Source organism: Homo sapiens, chromosome 2, assembly GCF_000001405.40.
Source record: "Homo sapiens chromosome 2, GRCh38.p14 Primary Assembly".
In the NCBI taxonomy this organism is placed as follows: Eukaryota; Metazoa; Chordata; class Mammalia; order Primates; family Hominidae; genus Homo; species Homo sapiens.
The window spans coordinates 96,788,322-96,808,038 of NC_000002.12; the positions used below are offsets into that span (position 1 = coordinate 96,788,322).

The 19,717-nt window shown below is 51.5% G+C and overlaps 1 protein-coding gene and 1 non-coding gene across 9 annotated transcripts in view, besides 3 other annotated features; both read left to right on the plus strand.

The window, feature by feature from the left end:
- The window catches only part of CNNM4 (cyclin and CBS domain divalent metal cation transport mediator 4), a 50,973-nt gene that overhangs the window by 27,420 nt on the left and 3,836 nt on the right, over positions 1 to 19,717 (plus strand). For 2 of the 8 annotated variants that reach the window (XM_047443911.1, XM_005263914.5), the window contains exons 2-6: positions 8,691 to 8,834; positions 9,192 to 9,326; positions 10,736 to 10,905; positions 11,231 to 11,327; positions 12,751 to 12,813. In XM_047443911.1, coding sequence (XP_047299867.1) covers positions 8,691 to 8,834; positions 9,192 to 9,326; positions 10,736 to 10,905; positions 11,231 to 11,327; positions 12,751 to 12,813 — 609 coding nt within the window. Of the gene's footprint in view, positions 1 to 268; positions 345 to 8,690; positions 8,835 to 9,191; positions 9,327 to 10,735; positions 10,906 to 11,230; positions 11,328 to 12,750; positions 12,814 to 14,424; positions 14,746 to 18,874; positions 18,961 to 19,717 lie in introns of those variants that run through there. The other 6 variants (XM_005263915.5, NM_020184.4, XR_007071513.1 and 3 more) reach the window with 5 other exon arrangements.
- On the plus strand, positions 9,957 to 10,032 carry MIR3127 (microRNA 3127). Its single transcript, NR_036074.1, has one exon. It is a non-coding gene; the product is annotated as a microRNA 3127 (primary transcript).
- Positions 12,390 to 12,719: an enhancer, noted in NCBI's record as "active region_16230". NCBI's record gives its function as "activates an Ori minimal core promoter by ATAC-STARR-seq in GM12878 lymphoblastoid cells {active_cell/tissue: GM12878}" and the evidence as "EXISTENCE:reporter gene assay evidence [ECO:0000049][PMID:35858748]".
- Positions 12,960 to 13,039: an enhancer, noted in NCBI's record as "active region_16231". NCBI's record gives its function as "activates an Ori minimal core promoter by ATAC-STARR-seq in GM12878 lymphoblastoid cells {active_cell/tissue: GM12878}" and the evidence as "EXISTENCE:reporter gene assay evidence [ECO:0000049][PMID:35858748]".
- Positions 14,082 to 14,131: an enhancer, noted in NCBI's record as "active region_16232". NCBI's record gives its function as "activates an Ori minimal core promoter by ATAC-STARR-seq in GM12878 lymphoblastoid cells {active_cell/tissue: GM12878}" and the evidence as "EXISTENCE:reporter gene assay evidence [ECO:0000049][PMID:35858748]".

Genomic DNA, 19,717 nt, shown 5'->3' on the forward strand with positions numbered 1-19,717 from the left:
GCCTGCCTGCTGGGCCACCGCAGCCTTCTGGTCTTCTGGCCTTTGCCTGGACTGACTGCCCTGACTGCCAGCTGTGTCTCTGGGAGGAAGGGAGCAACATAGATGAGCCCTGTTTAGGATTATGGATGAACCCAGCTGCCCTCCCCGAGGCTAGAGGGCAGGGGCTTGTCACTCTGGCTGGTTCCTCTCCTGCCCTGGCTCTGCCTTCTTGCTGGGCTGGCTGCCACTCATCCCGGTGGTTGAGGTCAGCACTATTAATAGCCAGCTTAATCCTGCGGGAGCTTGGGTGAAGGGAGGAAAGAGCAGAGAATCGCCAAGAAATCAGGGTGCTCAGCTATCTGCAGGTGTGGACCCAGGGCCCAAGCCTGTGGCTTCCAGTCAGTCCAGCCCGCACCTCTCCCATGGGAGGGCCTGAGAGCGCGGGAACATCCTGGGCCCCTGGGATCTCAGAGGCTGGACCTTCCTGGGAGACTCATTGAGTAAGATGCAGAGGACTCCTTCTTGGGTGGTGGGAGTCCCTGGTCTGCTCTGGGGCCCCTGGCTTTTCCCCATGAGAAAAAGCAGCTGGAGCTGGTGAGTAGGGCCCTCTCATGGCCCCTGTGGACTTTGTAACCCAGCACCTATAATACGGTTTTCTTAAGGACTTCAAGGGGCTGTAAAGTCTTTTTTTATGGAGGGCGGGGAAGGAGGACGCAGCAGTTTGCTAAAATGGGCATTGTGCAGGGTGGGGCCATCCTTTCTGTATCCAGCAGGGGTGTGGAGCACCTGCTGTGCTAGGCATAGTGGGAGGGGTTGGGGTAGCATGGCGAGGAGCGAGGGCACTACTCAGGCCTCGCCAGGCTGCAGCCTGGTCAGTGGGAGATAGACGCCGGTCAGCCGATGGCACAGAGCTGTGAAGGGAAGAAATGGGTCGGGATCCAGGGCCCTAAAAGACAACATGGCTAACACCCAGGGCTAACGTTTGAGCCCAGGGCAGAAGGATAAAGAGGTGACACGGAGGCTGGGGAGCAGGAGGAGCTGTGAGGGACTCAGGCAGGGCTGGGATCCTCCTTGCCCTTGTGCCAGCTGTGAGGGAGGCTGAGGCTGGCACCTGTGGTCTGCCCAGCCCTCCGGGGTTTCTGGAGGCCTCACATGGTGTTCTTTGACTGTGGAGGGCACGGTCCCACCTGGCTGCTGCTGGACAGAGGTCGCTGGAGGGCAGAGTGGGCAAGCATGCCGCCAGGCAAAGCCTGGAGAAGACAGTGGGGACAGCCAGGGTGCCAGGAACCTTCTTTCTGGACCCCCTTTCTTGCAGTGCTTGGAAAGGGCTTGGGGAGGCTCAGGAACCCTGAAGTCCCAGAGGAAGCGGTATTAGAATTTTATTTTATTTTATTAGTTAATTTTTTTTTTTTTTGAGACAGAGTCTGTGTCGCCCAGGCTGGAGTACAGTGGTGCGATCTCGGCTCACTGCAACCTCCGCCTCCTAGGTTCAAGTGATTCTCCTGCCTCAGCCTCCTGAGTAGCTGGGATTACAGGCCCGCGCCACCACGCCTGGCTAATTTTTGTATTTTTAGTAGAGACGGTGTTTCACCATGTTGGTCAGGCTGGTCTTGAACTCCTGACCTCGTGATCCACCCACCCCCCGCCCCCGGCCCTCCAAAATGCTGGGATTACAGGCGTGAGCCAACACACCCGGGCTAGAATTTTTTTTTTTTTTTTTTTTTTTGAGACGGAGTCTTGCTGTTGCCCAGGCTGGAGTGCAGTGGCGTGATCTCGGCTCACTGCAGGCTCCGCCTCCCGGGTTCACGCCATTCTCCTGCCTCAGCCTCCCAAGTAGCTGGGACTACAGGCGTCCACCACCTCACCCGGCTAATTTTTTGTATTTTTAGTAGAGATGGGGTTTCACCGTGTTAGCCAGGATGGTCTCGATCTCCTGACCTCGTGATCCACGCGCCTCGGTCTCCCAAAGTGCTGAGATTACAGGCGTGAGCCACCGCACCCGGCCTAGAATTTTTTTTTAAAGTTAATTTGATGGATGTGTTTTTTTGTTTGTTTATTTATTTGTTTTTTTGAGACAGAGTTTAACTCTTGTTGCCCAGGCTGGAGTGCAATGGCACGATCTCGGCGCACTGCAACCTCCACCTCCCAGATTCAAGCGATTCTCCTGCCTCAGCCTCCCGAGTAGTTGGGATTACAAGCATGTGCCACCATGCTTGGCTAATTTTGTATTTTTAGTAGAGATGGAGTTTCTCCATGTTGGTCAGGCTGGTCTCAAACTCCCCACCTCAGGTGATCCGCCTGCCTCGGCCTCCCAAAGTGCTGGGATTACAGGCATGAGCCACCGCGCCCGGCCTAATGGATGTGTTTTTTTTTTCTCATTATGAGATTAATACTATTGGCTGGGCATGGTGGCTCACCCTTGTAATCCCAGCACTTTGGGAGGCCGAGGTGGGCGGATGGATCACTTGAGGTTGGGAGTTAGAGACCAGCCTAGGGAACATGATAAAATCTCATCTCTACTAAAAATACAAAAATCCAGCTGGGCACAGTGGCTCATGTCTGTAATCCCAGCACTTTGGGAGGTTGAGGCGGGTGGATCACCTGAGGTCAGAAGTTCGAGACCAGCCTGGCCAGTATGGTGAAACCCTGTCTCTATTAAAAATACAAAAATTAGCTGGGCATGGTGGCCTGTGCCTGTAGTCCCAGCTACTCGGGAGGCTGAGAGAGGATAATTGCTTGATCCGGGGAGATGGAGGTTGCAGTAAGCTGAGATCGCACCACTGCACTCCAGCCTGAACAACAGAGTGAGACTCTGTCTCAAAAAAAAAAAAAAAAAAATTAAAATACAAAAATTAGCCAGGCATGGTGGTGCATGCCTATAGTCCCAGCTACTCAGGAGGCTGGTGATCCACCTGCCATGGCCTCCCAAAGTGCTGGGATTTCAGGTGTAAGCCACAGCGCCCAGCCCGTAAAATTGTATTTTAATGAGCTACCTTATGTTATTATTGGTGTCCATTCAATTGGCTGATTAGATTTTGGGGGTGGCATCGGCTGGGTACAGTGGCTCATGCCTGTAATCCCGGCACTTAGGGAGGCTGAGGTGGGTGGATCACCTGAGGTCAGGAGCTCGAGACCAGCCTGGCCAACATGGTGAAATTCCGTCTCTACTAAAAATACAAAAAATTAGCTGGGTGTGGTGGCGGGCGCCTGTAATCCCAGCTAGTCAGGAGGCTGAGGCAGAAGAATCCACTGCACTTGAGCCTGGGCAAAAGAGAAAGACTCCGTCTCAAAAAAAAAAAAAAGAAAGAAACATGGAAATTAAAACAATACATCTACAGCTAAAAATCCACATTTTTCAAAGTAGTCCTTAGTCAATGAAAAATGACTGAGGAAATATAGCAAAATGTTAGTATTTGCTTGAGCCATATAAAATTGCTGATATTCAATTATATTTTACCAAAACCAGCAATTCATGTGGCTTAATCTACATATGGGGGATTCAGGATGGTTTCTATTTTCTGTTTTCTTTTTATATTTTCCTATATAAAAAATTCCAAATTTTTCATAATCAATAGTATTAATTTCTTTTTTTCTTTGAGATGGAGTCACTCGCTCTGTTGCCCAGGCTGGAGTGCAGTGGCATGATCTTGCCTCACTACAACCTCCACCTCCTGGGTTCAAGCAATTCTGCGCCTGAAATCTCAGCACTTTGGGAGGCCGAGGTGGGCTGAACACTTGAGATCAGGAGCAGGAGAGTAGCCTGGCCAACATGGTGAAACCCCATCTCTACTAAAAATACAAAAAATTAGCCGAGTGTGGTGGCAGGTGCCTGTAATCAGGCAGACTGAGGTGGGAGAATCACTGGAACCTGTGAGGTGGAGATTGCAGTGAGCTGAGATCACGCCACTGCACTCCAGCCTGGGTGACAGAGTGAGACTCCAGCTCAAAAAAAAAAAAAAAACCACACACACACAAAAATACAATTTTATTAGAATTTATACAATGAGAATCCTAAATATAAGCCCTAAATTGATCTGCTTATTTTAGATGTTAAATCAGTTAGCAATAATTTCCGAAGTATAGAAACTTCTAAATTAGTAAAATCTAAAATAATTCTTTCCATCTTCGGCCTCCCTTCCCCTTCCCCGCTCCCCTTCCCCTCACTGGTTACTTTTCTCCTCCTGCTAAATGGATGTAGAGGCACAAAGAAAGACAGGAGGGACTGGTCACGGTGGCTCACACCTGTAATCCCAGCACTCTGGGAGGCCGAGGAGGGTGGATCACCTGAGGTCAGGAGTTCGTGACCAGCCTGACCAACATGGTGAAACCCCATCTCTACTAAAAATACAAAAAATTAGCTGGGTGTGGTGGCGGGCGCCTGTAATCCCAGCTACTTGGCAGGCTGAGGCAGGAGAATCCCTTGAACCTGCTAGGTGGAGGTTGCAGTGAGCTGAGATCGCGCCACTGTACTCCAGCCTGGCGACAGAGCAAGACTACATCTCAAAAAAAAAAGAGAGGAGGTCAGGCTCACCGTCCCATGGGCCTGATAACTGGGACAGAGCTGCCCTAAAGGGAGACAGGAGTGTTGGGGGGATGGGCATGAGCTGGGTTTTGGCTGCGTTAATTTCAAGGTATTAGTGACGTCAGGCAGCACTTGGATAGAGGAATCTGGAGGGCACGGGAGAGGACAGGGCTGCAGAGATTTATTTGGGACACTTGTACACTTGTATTTAAAGTTGCTAGGCAAGGGACCAGGTGTACAGACTGAGTTCTGAGTCTCTCCAGCATTTAAGTGGTCAGGGAGAAGCAGTGACTCCTGAGGTCAGGAGCACTGGGAGGGCTGTGCCCTGGAAGCCCTGGGCAGAAAGGGCTTCCAGGGGAAAGGAGGGAGTCACCGTTGGTCAGCAGGTCATCTGAGAATAACACTCCACCATGAAAGGTCATTGGTGACCTTGACCAGAGGCTCTCTGGCCCGGGGAGGGGAAAATTCTACCAGGACAAAAAGATGTCCCCTCTGGACAGACAAATTAGAAAATAGGAAAAACAGCCCAGGGGCCCAAAGCTCACCCTGCAGAGGGTGACTGACTGGCCCCTTAGGCTGGAACCTCTGTACGGAACCCCAGTTGGCCAGCCATCAGGCAGTGCCCAAAGCTCAGCTTGCAGAGGAGGGGTGAACGTGTACATGGTGCTCAGGGCTGTACACCTACAAGGTGCCTGTCATGCAGCTGGCTGCCACCCGAGGGTGCACACACACAGCAGTGGATCCCGCCAAGGGGTCTCAGAGAGGAGGCGGGGGGCGGAGAATGGTATCAAGACCCTGCTCAGGGAATCAGCTCATTTCATCCGCAGGAGGGCTGTTTCCACTATAAGAGAGGCTGCCAGGCCGGGCGCGGTGGCTGACATCTGTAATCCCAGCACCCTGGGAGGCCAAGGCAGAATGATCACTTGAGGTCAGGAGTTCGAGACCAGCCTGGCCAACCTGGCGAAACCCCGTCTCTACTAAAAATGCAAAATTAGCTGGGTATGGTGGCGCACACCCAGCTACTCAGGAGGCTGAGGCAGGAGAATCGCTTGAACCTGGGAGGTGAAGGTTGCAGTGAGCTGAGATTGTACCACTGTACTCCAGCCTGGGCCACTCCAGCCTAGGCTACACAGTGAGAGTCTGTCTCAAAAAAAATAAAAACAGAGAGAGGCCAGCAGCCTTTCACTGTGAGGGAACCTTTCGTTGGTCAGGATTTGGTCTGAGCCTGTGGAGTAATTAGGGATGTGAATGTAGTGGAGAGGTTGTTTTCTGACTTTGGGGGTCTGAACAAGGTTCTGCTCACTGAACCTTGTCAAAGAACACACCCCCATTCCCTGGGGCTCGATCTGTGGCAGTAAAAAGCACAGAGGGCCCTTGTCCACCCTAGAGACTCTCACCAGTTTCCCTTTGTTCTCCTTAATTTTGTTTTCCCCCTTAATTTTGTCTCAGTTTTGTTTTTAAATTATAAAAGTAAAACATGCCCATCAAATATAACAGTATAGAAGGGTATATAGAGAGGCAAAATAGCCTCCTCCCCAAACTCCAAATACCCCCAAAGGTGACCACTCTTACTACTTCTGGACGCTTCCAGGGCAGTTCAAGCCCACACACGCCTTTGTTTCTGTGAAGGCAGATGGCTCCATGCATTCTGTTCCGTGACTTGCTCTTTCACTAATAGCGTATCTTGGATTTCGTTCCGCGCTTTATTCATCCACCTCTGCCGTGTTCTCCCTTGAGTAGCTGTGGCCCCTTTTGAGTCCCTGTGCCCTATTGCTATTGCTTTAGGTTGTTTCTGGTTTGGGGCTGTTAAAAAGAATGTTGCCAAGAGCCCCCTTCTCTTGTGTCTTTTGTGAAGGTTGCCTCTCCCTAGGGTGAGTTCCTAGAAGTGGACCTTCTAAGTCCAAGGTTAGGAACCCTTGATTTTGTGACATCCTGACCAACTGGCCCCCTGAAATGTACCCTTTTACCTGGCCACCAACCAGATACATGTGAGGGCCTGTTTGTCTTCCCCATCCTCCACCATAACTGGGCATTACCAGGCTTTTTAGAGGGTGCCCATCTGGAAGGGGGTACAGGTTGGGCATCCCGAATCCAAAAATCCAAAATCCCAAATGCTCCAAAATCCAAAACTTTTTGAGTACCAACATGATGCTCAAAAGAAATGCTCATTGGAGCATTTTGTAGTTCAGATTTTCAGATTTGGGATGCCCAATGGCGTGTATTCTGCAAATATTCCAAAATCCAAAAAAATCTGAAATCTGAAACACTTCTGATCCCCAGTGAGGAATAAGGGATACTCAGCCTGTCAAAGCTGCCTTGCTTTAATTCCCATCCCCATGTGGTGACATGGTTTAGCTAGATGCCCAGGCCCTTCCAGGCACTGTCTTTCTGGAGGGCACTCCTGTATGGACAGCCTCCAGCAGGCACAGAGGCCTGGGGGCGGACCCCAGGGTCCCGGCCTGGCCCGCTGCCGCCCTGCTGGAGGGCCTCACAGATCTCTTGAACTTGTTGGCTCATCTCTAGGAAGATACTGGGGTATTTTCAATCGAGTCCAGCCATGGCTTTGTCTAGCAAGACGCTAAATGTTTTTTGACCAGAACCTGTAGTGGGAAATACATATATCATAGCCCCTGGCATGTGTGTGAAAAACTTTCACAATGCAGTACCCCCCCCCCCATCACATGGGGTGTATTGTGAGAATTTTTACTTTAGTCATGAGACCTCACATTCTCTCTGCTCTCCCTAAGAGGCCCTTAGAAGTTCTTAACAGCCCATCTTGGGCTGGGGGATTTTCTGTGGCCTTAAAGACCTGGAAAACATCCTCCACCGAGGGTATTTAGGATGAGTTCTTTAGTCCCTAGAGCGAGGCCCTTGGATTGTGAAGGGGAAGCCATGCAGAAGACCCTGACTTGACCTTCCCAGATTTCCGGGGGCCTTTCTTCCTAGGCTGCTCCAAACCTGTGTTCCTGCGAGTGGGGTATGGCACACAGGACTCATTCCACCTAGACTGTGGACCTAGCCCTTCTTGGCTGGACCCTCTTGCCACTCATGGGGCTGGGGCCATAAGAACAGGGTGTGGCCTTCAAAAAGGGGTCTGGGAAGACCCACCACCCCACAGGGTTTCTGTGGAGGGTCCTGCCCCATGCCAGCCTCCTTCCCTCACTTTGGGTTGAGGGGGTGGCCCCTCTCTAATTGTAGTCTCTGCCCCACCTAATCACAGTGCTCGGCCTCTCTGTGCCCTTGTCAGTTTGGGTCTTTCCCCTCCCCAAGAGTTCCAGAAGCCCCTGATAAGTGATACCAGACAGGGTCTTTTTTTTTTTTTTTTTTTTTTTTTTTTTTTGAGACAGAGTCTTGCTCTGTTGCCCAGGCTGGAGTGCAGTGGCGTGATCTCGGCTCACTGCAACCTCTGCCTCCCGGGTTCAAGCAATTCTCCTGCCTCAGCCTTCCGAGTAGCTGGGACTACAGGTGTGTACTACCACACCTAGCTGATTTTTGTATTTTTAGTAGAGATGGGGTTTTACCGTGTTGGCCAGGCTGGTCTCAAACTCCTGGCCTCAAGCAATCTGCCCGCTTCAGCCCGTCCAAGGTGCTGGGATTACAGATGTGAGCCATTGCTCCCAGCATTGCCATTTTTATCCGATTTAAACAAGTAGTCCTGGCCTGGCGTGGTGGCTCATTCCTGTATTCCCAGCACTTTGGGAGGCTGAGATGGGAGGACTGCTTGAGCCCAGGAGTTTGAGACCAGCTTGAGCAACATAGCGAGATCCATCTCTACAAAAAATAAAAGAGTTAGCCAGGCATGGTGGAGCACACCTGTGGTCTCAGCTACTCGGGAGGCTGAGGTGGGAGGATCTCTTGAGCCCAGAAGTTGGCGGCTGCAGTGAGCTATGATTGCGCCACTGCACTCCAGCCTGGGTAACAGAGCTAGACCCTGTCCTTCCTCCACAAAAACAGAGAAAAACAAAAAAGTGGTCCTTAACGACATGCTTTTAAAAATTACTTTTAGTTTTCCTTTTCATAAAAGCAATGTCTGTTTGCAGTAGAAACGTCAGGAAAGATGGAAAAGATAAAAACCACCATGACCCCATCCTGGTGACTTATGACCCTACGTCTAGAGTTAATGTTTTGGTTGAGGGAGTCTCATGACTGGCCTCTGGGCTCTTGTCTGACTTGCTGCATTGTCCCACAGGGAAGTCCCACCTGGCCATCGTGCAGAAGGTAAACAACGAGGGTGAGGGTGACCCCTTCTACGAGGTCCTGGGCCTGGTCACCCTGGAGGACGTGATCGAGGAGATCATCAAGTCGGAGATCCTGGACGAGTCCGACATGTACAGTGAGTCCAGCCTTCCACAGGGCCCAGGACCCCTTTCCTGCTTGGATCGAAACTTGGTGTCCCTAGCTGGAAGGGCCATAGTGCAGGGACACAGGAGGCCTAGCATCCAGAGGCCCAGTGGCTGGGTGCCCTGCACTGGCCGGGGTGAGCAGGGAGCAGGTTGCTGAGAGCAGTGCCCGGAGGCTGCCTTCACCCTCGGCCTTTGTGCCTCGGCGTCAGCCCAGGACCCTGCCAGCCAGAGCCTGCTGCTCCTGCGTGGGACTAGGGGCTGGAGAGCAGGAGCTGCGGGGCGGGTTCCAGTCTCTTCCTAAGTCCTCAGGGGTCTGTGTTCTCAATTCCACGCTCTTCTTCCGGCAGCTGACAACCGAAGCCGGAAGCGGGTGTCTGAGAAGAACAAGCGTGACTTCTCTGCCTTCAAGGATGCGGACAATGAGCTCAAAGTGAAAATCTCCCCGCAGCTCCTCCTGGCCGCTCATCGCTTCCTAGCCACAGGTAGCATGAGGAGGACCTTCCGGTCTTGGTGGAAATACGGTCACGGGGGAGAAGTCCTGGGTTTCCGGCTGCTTTCCCCCCATAGGACGAGGGCTGCAGCAGGTGAGGGGTGCAGAGACAACACAGCCACCCCTGGAAGGGGCCGGGTATCTGCTCCACCCCTGGGGATCTCCCTGCGATTCATTTGCCATTAATGGGCGGCTACTGCAAACTTCTAGGAAGCATCCAAGTTACTATATTTAATAGTTTGGGAAATAATGACTAGGCACTATGGCTTATACCTGTAATCCCAGCACTTTGGGAGGCCGAGGCAGGAGGATTGCATGAGCCCAGGAGTTCGAGACCAGCCTGAGCAACATGGCGAGACCCCATCTCTACAAAAAATACAAAAGCCAGGCATGGTGGTGCCCTCCTGTAGTCCCAGCTACTTGGGAGGCTATGAGGTGGGACAGTTGCATGTCTGTGGTCCCAGCTACTCAGGAGGCTGATGTGGGAGGACCGCTTGAGCCCAGGAGTTTGAAGCTGCAGTAAGTTGTGAATGCACCACTGCACTCAGCCTGGGCCACAGAACAAGATTCTGTCTCAAAAATAACAAAAAAGAAAATAACCACTGAGGTGGGCCCCTAGGCTGGCCAGGCCCATCAGGGCTTGTGGAATGGGAAGGAGAAGGGACGCTTCCCCTTCTGCAGGCCTGCTGGGTGTGGCTGGACCCCTCGTGTGCTCACCCACTCTGAGGAGCTTGCATCCAGCTCTGCTCTTACTCTCCAGCTCTCCCCTTTGCAGACGTGTGCTGGTTCCCGCAGGAATTCACTTCTAGTTCAGAGACATTTCTCTCTTTTCAGCCCTGATTCAAAGCTCCACTGGGGACTTGGGTGACAGGTTCTGCTCTGCCCGCTCTGTCCCCCTCTTCCCCTGGCCCAATTCATCTTCCTTCCCACCCCTTACTTGCTAAAGGGGTGGCAATTCCCTCTCCATTATTTTTCCTGTGGGATATTGATGCTGATGCAATAATTATAGTCTATATATTTTAGTATATATGGACAGCACATATATACTAAGTGCTGTCCATGTGCTATCCCATTCACCCTCACAACCACCCTGTGAAGCTTTTACCCCCATATTACAGATGAGGAAACTGAGATGCAGGTTAAGTAATTTGCCCAAGGTCATGTGCTGTTCTTGCAGGAGCCACTGTTCAAGCCCAGGCAGGCAGGCAGCCTTGTATCCAACCAGTCAGAAGCCAAGCGTGCTCCCTCCCCAGGGAGGTGCAGAACGAGGGCCGGCCGAGCAGGGCGGGAGTCGTCTGAGCACAGCGTGGCTGCTGTGGTTGGGGTGGAGGCACAGCAGTGATCGAGCTTTAGGGCCACCTGGCCAGCCCCGTGTGAGGTCTCTTCTCTCTCCTCCTACAGAGGTCTCTCAGTTTAGCCCCTCCCTGATATCAGAGAAGATCCTGCTGCGGCTACTCAAGTACCCAGATGTCATTCAGGAACTCAAGTTTGACGAGCACAATAAGTACTACGCCCGCCATTACCTGTACACCCGAAATAAGCCGGCCGACTACTTCATCCTCATCCTGCAGGTGAGCCCGCTCAGCCCTGGGCCTGCCACCTGCTCCCCCTGGCACTGCAGCAACCCCCAGGCCCTCTCTCCCACCTGCTGCGGAGGTGCATGGCTTCCCTGCCTGGGGAGCCTGCTGCCTGCCCTTGAGCCCCGCCTGCCCCACGTGGCCATCCTCTCCCTGAGAGGCCACTCTTGATCTCACAGGTCAGGCCCCTGAGCTCTCCAGGGCTCCAGTACCGGCCCTTCCTCCTGCCCCACTGTCCCTTGTTCCTCACTCCCCATCCTGCCTCATCCTTTGTTTCCTCCCTCACTTGGTCTCTAACTCCAGCCCTGTGTTTTTTCAGGGGAAGGTGGAGGTGGAGGCAGGGAAGGAGAACATGAAGTTTGAGACGGGCGCCTTCTCCTACTATGGGACTATGGCCCTGACCTCGGTCCCCTCCGGTGAGTTGTTGGGCATGGTCTTTGCTGCCCTTTGGCCCCCCTGCAGCTGGGGAGCCATGGACCGACACCAGAACTGAGCATGGGCCCGAGAGCTCATAGCCAGCTGGCTGGGGCAGAGGGAGGCTGGTGAGGCGGGAGCCGCCAGGGCCTGGAGCGGGTGGTGTGGAAGAGCAGAGGGAGCTGCCACTTTGGATGGGGTCCAGAAGCTGGAGGGGAAAAGAGGAGTGAGGGATTTTAGAGTAAAGGCCTGGAGGCAGCGGAGGGCATGTCCAGAGGTTGTGAGGAGACCAGCCTGCTTGGAGAGGAGGCCTGTGGGGAGGAAGGCCCAGGGCCCTGCTCCTGAGGACAGGAGGGGAGTCTGAGCATCCAAAGTGACTGGGGTCAGGAGCCAGGCCAGGGCCTGTTTGCCAGGGCAGGCTGCAGATGGGTTTGGCTTTTCGGAGGACGCGGCTACTGGGTTTTGGTTAGAGGTCAGCTCCGATGGAATAAAGGGCCTTGGGGACAGACAGAAGGGAGACTGGGCACCCTCCGAGAGGTGTTATGGAAGGTCCGGGGATGCGCCACTCTGGCCGCCCCAGTGCCCTCTCCTGTGCTGAGTGGCTCAGGCTTTCCCCGCAGAGCCCCACAGACAAGGCCCCGCAGGCCCAGGTCTCGCCAGCTCATCTCCTCGCTCCTCTCCAGGCTTCGGTCCTGGGGCGAGGTTGCTGCAGGGTAGAGAGAGAAAGTCCACTTTGGTGCTGGAGAACAGGCCACGCCAGTGGGGTACGAGCTGCAGCTCCCAGAGAACCTCTGTGCTGTGCCTCTCACTGTCCTTTGACAAAAAGGACCCCGAGGGGGAACGGGGGTAGGGCACCCATGAATACTGACACCCAGCTTGGCTTATCCACCATGTCCTCGGCCCCTCCACCAGATGAGTGGGGCATGGCAGGCTCCCTGGGCAGGGGACAGACAGGGCCCCAGAGCGGGGCTCTGAGCAGGTTAACCCTATCAGATGCCTCAGGCCTGGGGATGACTTCCTGTGCCTCCAAGAGCAGCTGTTCTCTGTTCAGTTTGAGGAAATCTCATTCAGAAGGGCGGGCAGGCACGGGAGGCTTCCCCCAGGCACTGTTTGTGCAGTGAAGCCTCAGAGGCCCGGTTAGGGCCCAGGCTCTGTCCGTTGACCCATAGTCTCTCTGTTCCCACTTGGTGTGGCCAGAAGAGAGGGGAGATGACTGGGCACACTCAGCCAGCTTCTGCCTGTCTCCGCACAGGGCTCACCGCTGTGCCCTGAGCACCCTTCCCAGCAGAGCCATGTCCCTTTCTCCACTGGGCCCATCTCTGCCCAAAGCAGCCTGGCCCCGTCAGGTCTGCCTCTGTCCTGTGCCTGTGGTTCCGTGTCCTGTCTCCTGACTGCGCCCATCACTGACCTTCTCTTTTGCTCCAGTGCCTTCAGTCCAGGTCGGGTGTCCGCCTGGCAAGCGGAACTCCCTGCTCTGCTGGCTCACAGGTAACGTGGCACAGCTGAGGGTCACGCTGCCACCTGCTGCCTGTGCCTGCACACTGCAGCTGCATTAACCTCCCCACATGGACCCGGACCCCCGCCTGCTCAATGTGGGCCGCCAGACCTCAGTGGCTCTGCTTGGCTGGGGCCCAATTTCTAGGCAGCTTTGCTGCCTCAGCTCTAGAAGGGGCCCCCAAAGATCTCTTGGTGCTTGAGATCACACACTCATAGACACATACACACAGAGACACACAGAGAGATACACATACAGATACACATAGCCATAGATACACGCAGAGACACACACAGTGAGAGACCACATGCAGAGAGACCGCACACACAGAGAGAGACCACACACACACAGAGACCACACACAGAGAGAGACCACACACAGAGATAGCACACACACAGAGAGACCACACACACACAGAGACCACACACAGAGATAGCACACACACAGAGAGACCACACACACAGAGACCACACACAGAGACCACACGCAGAGAGACCACACACATGCAGAGAGACCACACACACACACACACAGAGACCACACGCAGAGAGACCACACACACGCAGAGAGACCACACACATGCAGAGACCACACACACCCAGAGACCACACACCCAGACACACACACAGACAGAGATACTACAGACACCCATAGACAGAGATATCACACACAGAAACACACATGCAGATACACCCATAGACACACAGATGCCACAGAGGCATACACAGAGAAACACCCGTAGACACACCAGGATACACATACACACATAGATACACCACTCATAGACACACAAACACACACCCATAGGCACACACCCATAGGCACACACACAAAGAGACACACACAGACACACACCCATGGACACACACACACACAGAAGCACCCACCCATAGGCACACACACAGACACACACAGATACACATCCATAGACACACAGACACACAGGTATATATACACAGATACACCCATAGACACACAAACACAGAGACACACAGATACCACACACAGACACACACAGATACACCCATAGACACACACACACACAGATACCACACACTGAAACACACATCCATAGACACATACACACAGAAACACAACCACAGACACACACACATGCACACCCAGAGGATAGGCTGGGAGTGGAGGGTTGCTCCTGGCCCAGCCAAGTGAGCACCGGCCAGCCTGCTGCCCTCCACGGCCAAGAGGAGACGCACCCCAGCGGGTAAGCACTTCCTGCTCCAGGCCACCCACACACCGTGTCAGGGTGACTTGTCATCTCATCAGCTTTCTCTAAAAGACTTTCCGATTTTCTTCACAAGCTTTGCTTCCCGTTCAGCTGCTGGCCCAGTAGGCAACTGCGAGGCCATGAGGGGCATGGCCCCGGGTCAGACTGCCTAGTCAAGAGCCACCTCCACAGTTGCTGGCTAAATGATAGTCTTTGTTTCTGCTTTCCCCTCTGTGAAATGGGAACAATGCGTGTACCCCCTTCATAAGAGTTATCAGGAGAGTACGTGAGAGAATTCATGTAAAATGTTGAGTTAGAGCTCAATTATTATTATTTCTGTTTTTTCCTGATTACAATGAAAATGTGGTGTTCCAACCAGAAAGTCTTTCAGGAAAGGCCAGTGCCATATGCTGCTTCTGGCCTTGGATGTGTCATGCTCCTGATGCCTGTCCGGGGAGTCGGTGGGAATAGGGTCAGACTCATTCAGCTTGAGGCTTGCTGGGATTCCCGTGTGCAACCAGGCCGCAGAGGGCACAGGACGGTGCTGGTCTCATCAGGTGTGGCCTGTGCCCATCAGGAGCAGCACCAGCATCTTTCAGCTCCTCACACCCCAACTGCCCTAAAAACCCGTCACCTCAGCCCGGGGATATCCATTTTACATTTGTACAGCTGGGCCTTCTTCCATCTGAACTGTTCCAAGGTATACTCTGCTATTTTGACCCTCTGTTTAATAAATAAATAAGTAGATGAAAAGGTGACTTAGAAGCAGTTACTCCCTGTCCCTTTCAAACCTCCCCAGTGTGACCTCAGCCTCCCTCCCCTCCTCTGGGCTTGCTCTGGTTTCATGGATGGCCGGGAGGTGATGCACCTGTGGTTTGAATCCTGAGAGCAGGTGTGCCCTCATTGATTAATTCTCCACTTTACGCTTTATGCATATTCATGGGGGTCTTTATTATAAACAATACCATGATATAAACTTTTTTATGCAAAAAAGCAAAAAACTTTCCCTGTGTTTAAGGTTATGTCCTTAGGATATCCTTTCAACAATGAAATTACCAGGTCAAAACCTTGCAGTTGGCCGTGCGCGGTGGCTCATGCCTGTAATCCCAACACTTTGGGAGGCCGAGGTGCGTGGATTGCCTGAGGTCGGGAGTTCGAGACCAGCCTTGGCCAACATGGTGAAACCCCATCTCTACTAAAAATACAAAAATTAGCCGGGCGTGGTGGCAGGTGCCTGTAATCCCAGCTACTTGGGAGGCTGAGGCAAGAGAATCGCTTGAACCCAGGAGGCGGAGGTTGCAGTGAGCTGAGATCGTGCCATTGCGCTCTAGCCTGGGCAACAAGAGCGAAACTCTGTCTAAAAAAAAAAAAACCTTGCAGTTTTTGTTTTATTTATTTTTTGCTTTACTCATAAAAGTAAGGTAGCTTATTGGGAAAATAGAAAAAAGTCTTGAAAAAATTAAAAAGTATCATAATTTCATCTCTCAGAGACAAAATGGATTTTGGTGAATTTTTTCTAGGACCTCTGTTTTTTTGTTTGTTTGTTTTAAGAGACACGTTCTTTCTCTGTCACCTAGGCTGGAGAGCAGTGGTGCAATCATAGCTCACTGCAGCCTCAACCTCATGGGCTCAAGTGACCCTCCCACCTCAGCCTCCCAAGTAGCTGGGACTACAGGCAGGTGCCACCATGCTGGGCAATTTTTTTTTTAACTTTTTGTAGAGATGGGGGTCTCACTATGTTGTCCAGGCTGGTCTCAAACTCCTAGACTTCCCCCACCTCAGCCTCTCAAAGCACTGGGATTACAGGCATGAACCACTGCACCTGGCCGGACCTCTAATCTTAATAGGTCACGTCACTAATTTTTTTTTTTTTTTTTTTTTGAGATGGAGTCTTGCTGCGACGCCCAGGCTGGAGTGCAGTGGTGCGATCTTGGCTCCCTGCAACCTCCACTTCCCGGGTTCAAGTGATTCTCCTGCCTCAGCTTCCCGAGTAGCTGGGACTACAGGCGTGCGCCAGGAACCCCCAGCTAAGTTTTGTATTTTTTTTTTTTTGAGATGGAGTCTTGACCCTGTCGCCCAGGCTGGAGTGCAATGGCGCGATTTCAGCTCACTGCAACCTCCACCTCCCAGGTTCAAGTGACTTTCCTGCCTCAGCCTCCTGAGTAGCTGGGATTACAGGCATGCACCACCACCCTTGGCTAATTTTTTGTATCTTTAGTAGAGACGGAGTTTCACCATGTTGGCCAGGCTGGTCTTGAACTCCTGACCTCGTGATCCACCCGCCTCGGCCTCCCAACGTGCTGGGATTACAGGCGTGAGCCACCGTGCCTGGCCAAATTTTGTATTTTTAGTAGAAACAGGGTTTTGCCATATTGGCCAGGCTGGTCTTGAACTCCTGATGTTAGGTGATCCGCCCGCCTCAGCCTCCCAAAGTGCTGGGATTACGGGTGTGAGCCACCGCACTCTGCCCATGTCACTAATTTGTGTTGGTTTTAAATTCAGTCTCTTGGCCAGGCTTGGTGGCTCATTCCTGTAATCCTAGCACTTTGGGAGGCTGAGGCAGGAGGATCGCTTGAGCCCAGGAGTTTCAAACCAGCCGAGGTAACATAGCAAGACCCTTTAAAAAATAATAATAATAAAATAAATTCAGTTGAAAAAGAAAATAAATTGTTTATTTTAAAAATAAAATTCAGTTCCTGTTTCTAGAGTGTTAGCATTAATTAAAAGCATTCCATCATTCAGATAGCTATGTGAAGTATTAAGTAATACCCCTAGTATTTCTGCTTTTCCTAGAACTTAATCAGAGATGTTACTCATTAGATACTTGCACTTGATCCTCTAATGATCCTCTAAAATATTTCCTGTTCTTGCATGGGAATACCACAACCTCATCATAGAATGGCCAGTTTCCTGAGAAACTATAAACTATAAACTGTAAACTAGGAAACTGTAGTTTCCTAGTTTTATAAATAAAAATCAAAGCTTTACTTAAGCACAAAGATAGAGTATTACTCAGTTTAGTCTCTGTTGTTATACCCTGGCTTCTTTTCAGTTTTTTTTTTTTTTTTTTTTTATTATTTTTTTTTAAATTTATTTTTTTATTGATAATTCTTGGGTGTTTCTCACAGAGGGGTATTTGGCAGGGTCATGGGACAATAGTGGAGGGAAGGTCAGCAGATAAACAAGTGAACAAAGGTCTCTGGTTTTCCTAGGCAGAGGACCCTGCGGCCTTCCGCAGTGTTTGTGTCCCTGATTACTTGAGATTAGGGATTGGTGATGACTCTTAACGAGCATGCTGCCTTCAAGCATCTGTTTAACAAAGCACATCTTGCACCGCCCTTAATCCATTTAACCCTGAGTGGACACAGCACATGTTTCAGAGAGCACAGGGTTGGGGGTAAGGTCACAGATCAACAGGATCCCAAGGCAGAGGAATTTTTCTTAGTGTAGAACAAAATGAAAAGTCTCCCATGTCTACTTCTTTCCACACAGACACGGCAACCATCCGATTTCTCAATCTTTTCCCCACCTTTCCCGCCTTTCTATTCCACAAAGCCACCATTGTCATCCTGGCCCGTTCTCAATGAGCTGTTGGGTACACCTCCCAGACGGGGTGGTGGCCGGGCAGAGGGGCTCCTCACTTCCCAGTAGGGGCGGCCGGGCAGAGGCGCCCCTCACCTCCCGGACGGGGCGGCTGGCCGGGCAGGGGGGCTGACCCCCCCCAACCTCCCTCCCGGAGGGGGCGGCTGGCCGGGCGGGGGGCTGACCCCCCCACCGCCCTCCCGGACGGGGCGGCTGGCCGGGCGGGGGGCTGACACCTTCTTTTCAGTTTTATGAAAATAATTAGATGTTTTAGGAACATGAAATTACTAGCTTTCCAGCTAAAATGTTCTCAAATCTACAAAATACAGAGCTACATAAACATGAAACCACTTTTGATAACGTCAGTCATAAAGACTTGAACTCAGACTTCTCTCTCTTTTTTTTTTATTTAATTAGATCTTGGGTTCAGAGTTGAATTAATGATTATCCTCAGTTCACGACCCACTAAGACCTTACCAGGTCCCTCTTTTGTCTCATTTAATTTTTATTTTCCCCTTTGTTCTTCATCTCTACTCTTCTTCCTTCCCTAGCTATCCAACACACACACACACACACACACACACACACGCGCGCGCGCGCGCGCGCCCTTAGTTAAAAATTGTATTGGTCATTGAGTCACTAGATTCAGTATGTTTGTTCTCTTCACTTGGCAATTTGTTAGAATGGCTAACTTAGTAACTTAATAGTTAAATAAGCAAATCAGCTTAGTCCGCTTCCTGTTTGTTTAAAACCATCCTGCATGTCTTCACAATTAACTTCTTTGTGCGTTTCATGGTTTCCTGTGTTCTCAAAAACAAGTTAATGATATACAGTAACGTATATCATTTGAAAAAGCAGTTTCTTTTTCAAAATAAGAAGCCCATTCTTCCTTATTCAAGATTGTTACAACTCTTATTCGAGATTCGAGATTGTTACAACTCTGCCTCATGAGAGGGGAGAAGCGCCTGTCACCCTGACCCGCCCCGGCCAGGCTGGCTGGGTTGCAGGTGGAAGTGGGTAGGACTGTGTTTCACGCTGAGTAGGTTGTGTGCAAAACACACTTTTGACTCCATAAAAGCATTTTCTTTTTTGGGTGTTCGGCGGGTGGACAGAGTGTAGTGGTACAATCTCGGCTCGTTACAACCTCCGCCTCCCAGGCTCAGGTGACCCTCCCACCTCAGCCACCCAAGGAGCTGGGGCCACAGGTAAAAGCCACCACGCCTGGCTAATTTTTGTATTTTTTGTAGAGATGCGGTTTTGCTGTGTTGCCCAGGCTGGTCTTGAACTCCGGCTCAAGCAATCTGCCCGCATCGGCCTCCTAAGGTGCTTACAGGTGTGAGCCACCTCGCCCAGCCCCTGATAAGAGCATTTAAGAGGTGACAGGGCTGGCAGGGCCATAGTGGCTCACACCTGTCTGTAATCCCAGCACTTTGCGAGGTTGAGGCAGGCGGATCACCAGCAGTCATAAGATCGAGACCATCCTGGCTAACACAGTGAAACCCCGTCTCTACTAAAAATACAAAAAAAAAATTAGCTAGGCATGGTGGAATGCGCCTGGGTGACAGAGTAAGACTCCATCTCAAAAAAACAAAAACAAAAACAAAACAAAACCAAAAAAACAAGAAAAAGAAAAAAAATTATCCAGGCGTGGTGTTGGGCACCTGTAATCCCAGCTACTCAGGAGGCTGAGGCAGCAGAATTGCTTAAACCTGGGAGGCGGAGGTTGCAGTGAGCCAAAATCATGCCACTGCACTCCAGCCTGGGTGACAGAGTAAGACTCTGTCTCCAAAGAAAAGGTGTGACGGGGCATCTTATGTGTGGGGTGTGTATTCACAGAGAGAGAGTGCAAACTATACATTCTTCCTTTTAATGCATATTTTTTATTTAAAAGTATGCAGTTTATGTCACTTGATACAAGCTGGTATTGAGACAAGGATGGCAGTTTGCTTGTTTGTTTTGAGACAGAGTCTTGCTCTGTCACCCAAGCTGGAGTGCAGTGGTGCCAGCTTGGCTCACTGCAATATCCACCTCCCAGGTTCAAGCGATTCTCCTGCCTCAGCCTCCCAAGTAGCCGGGATTACAGGTGTTTG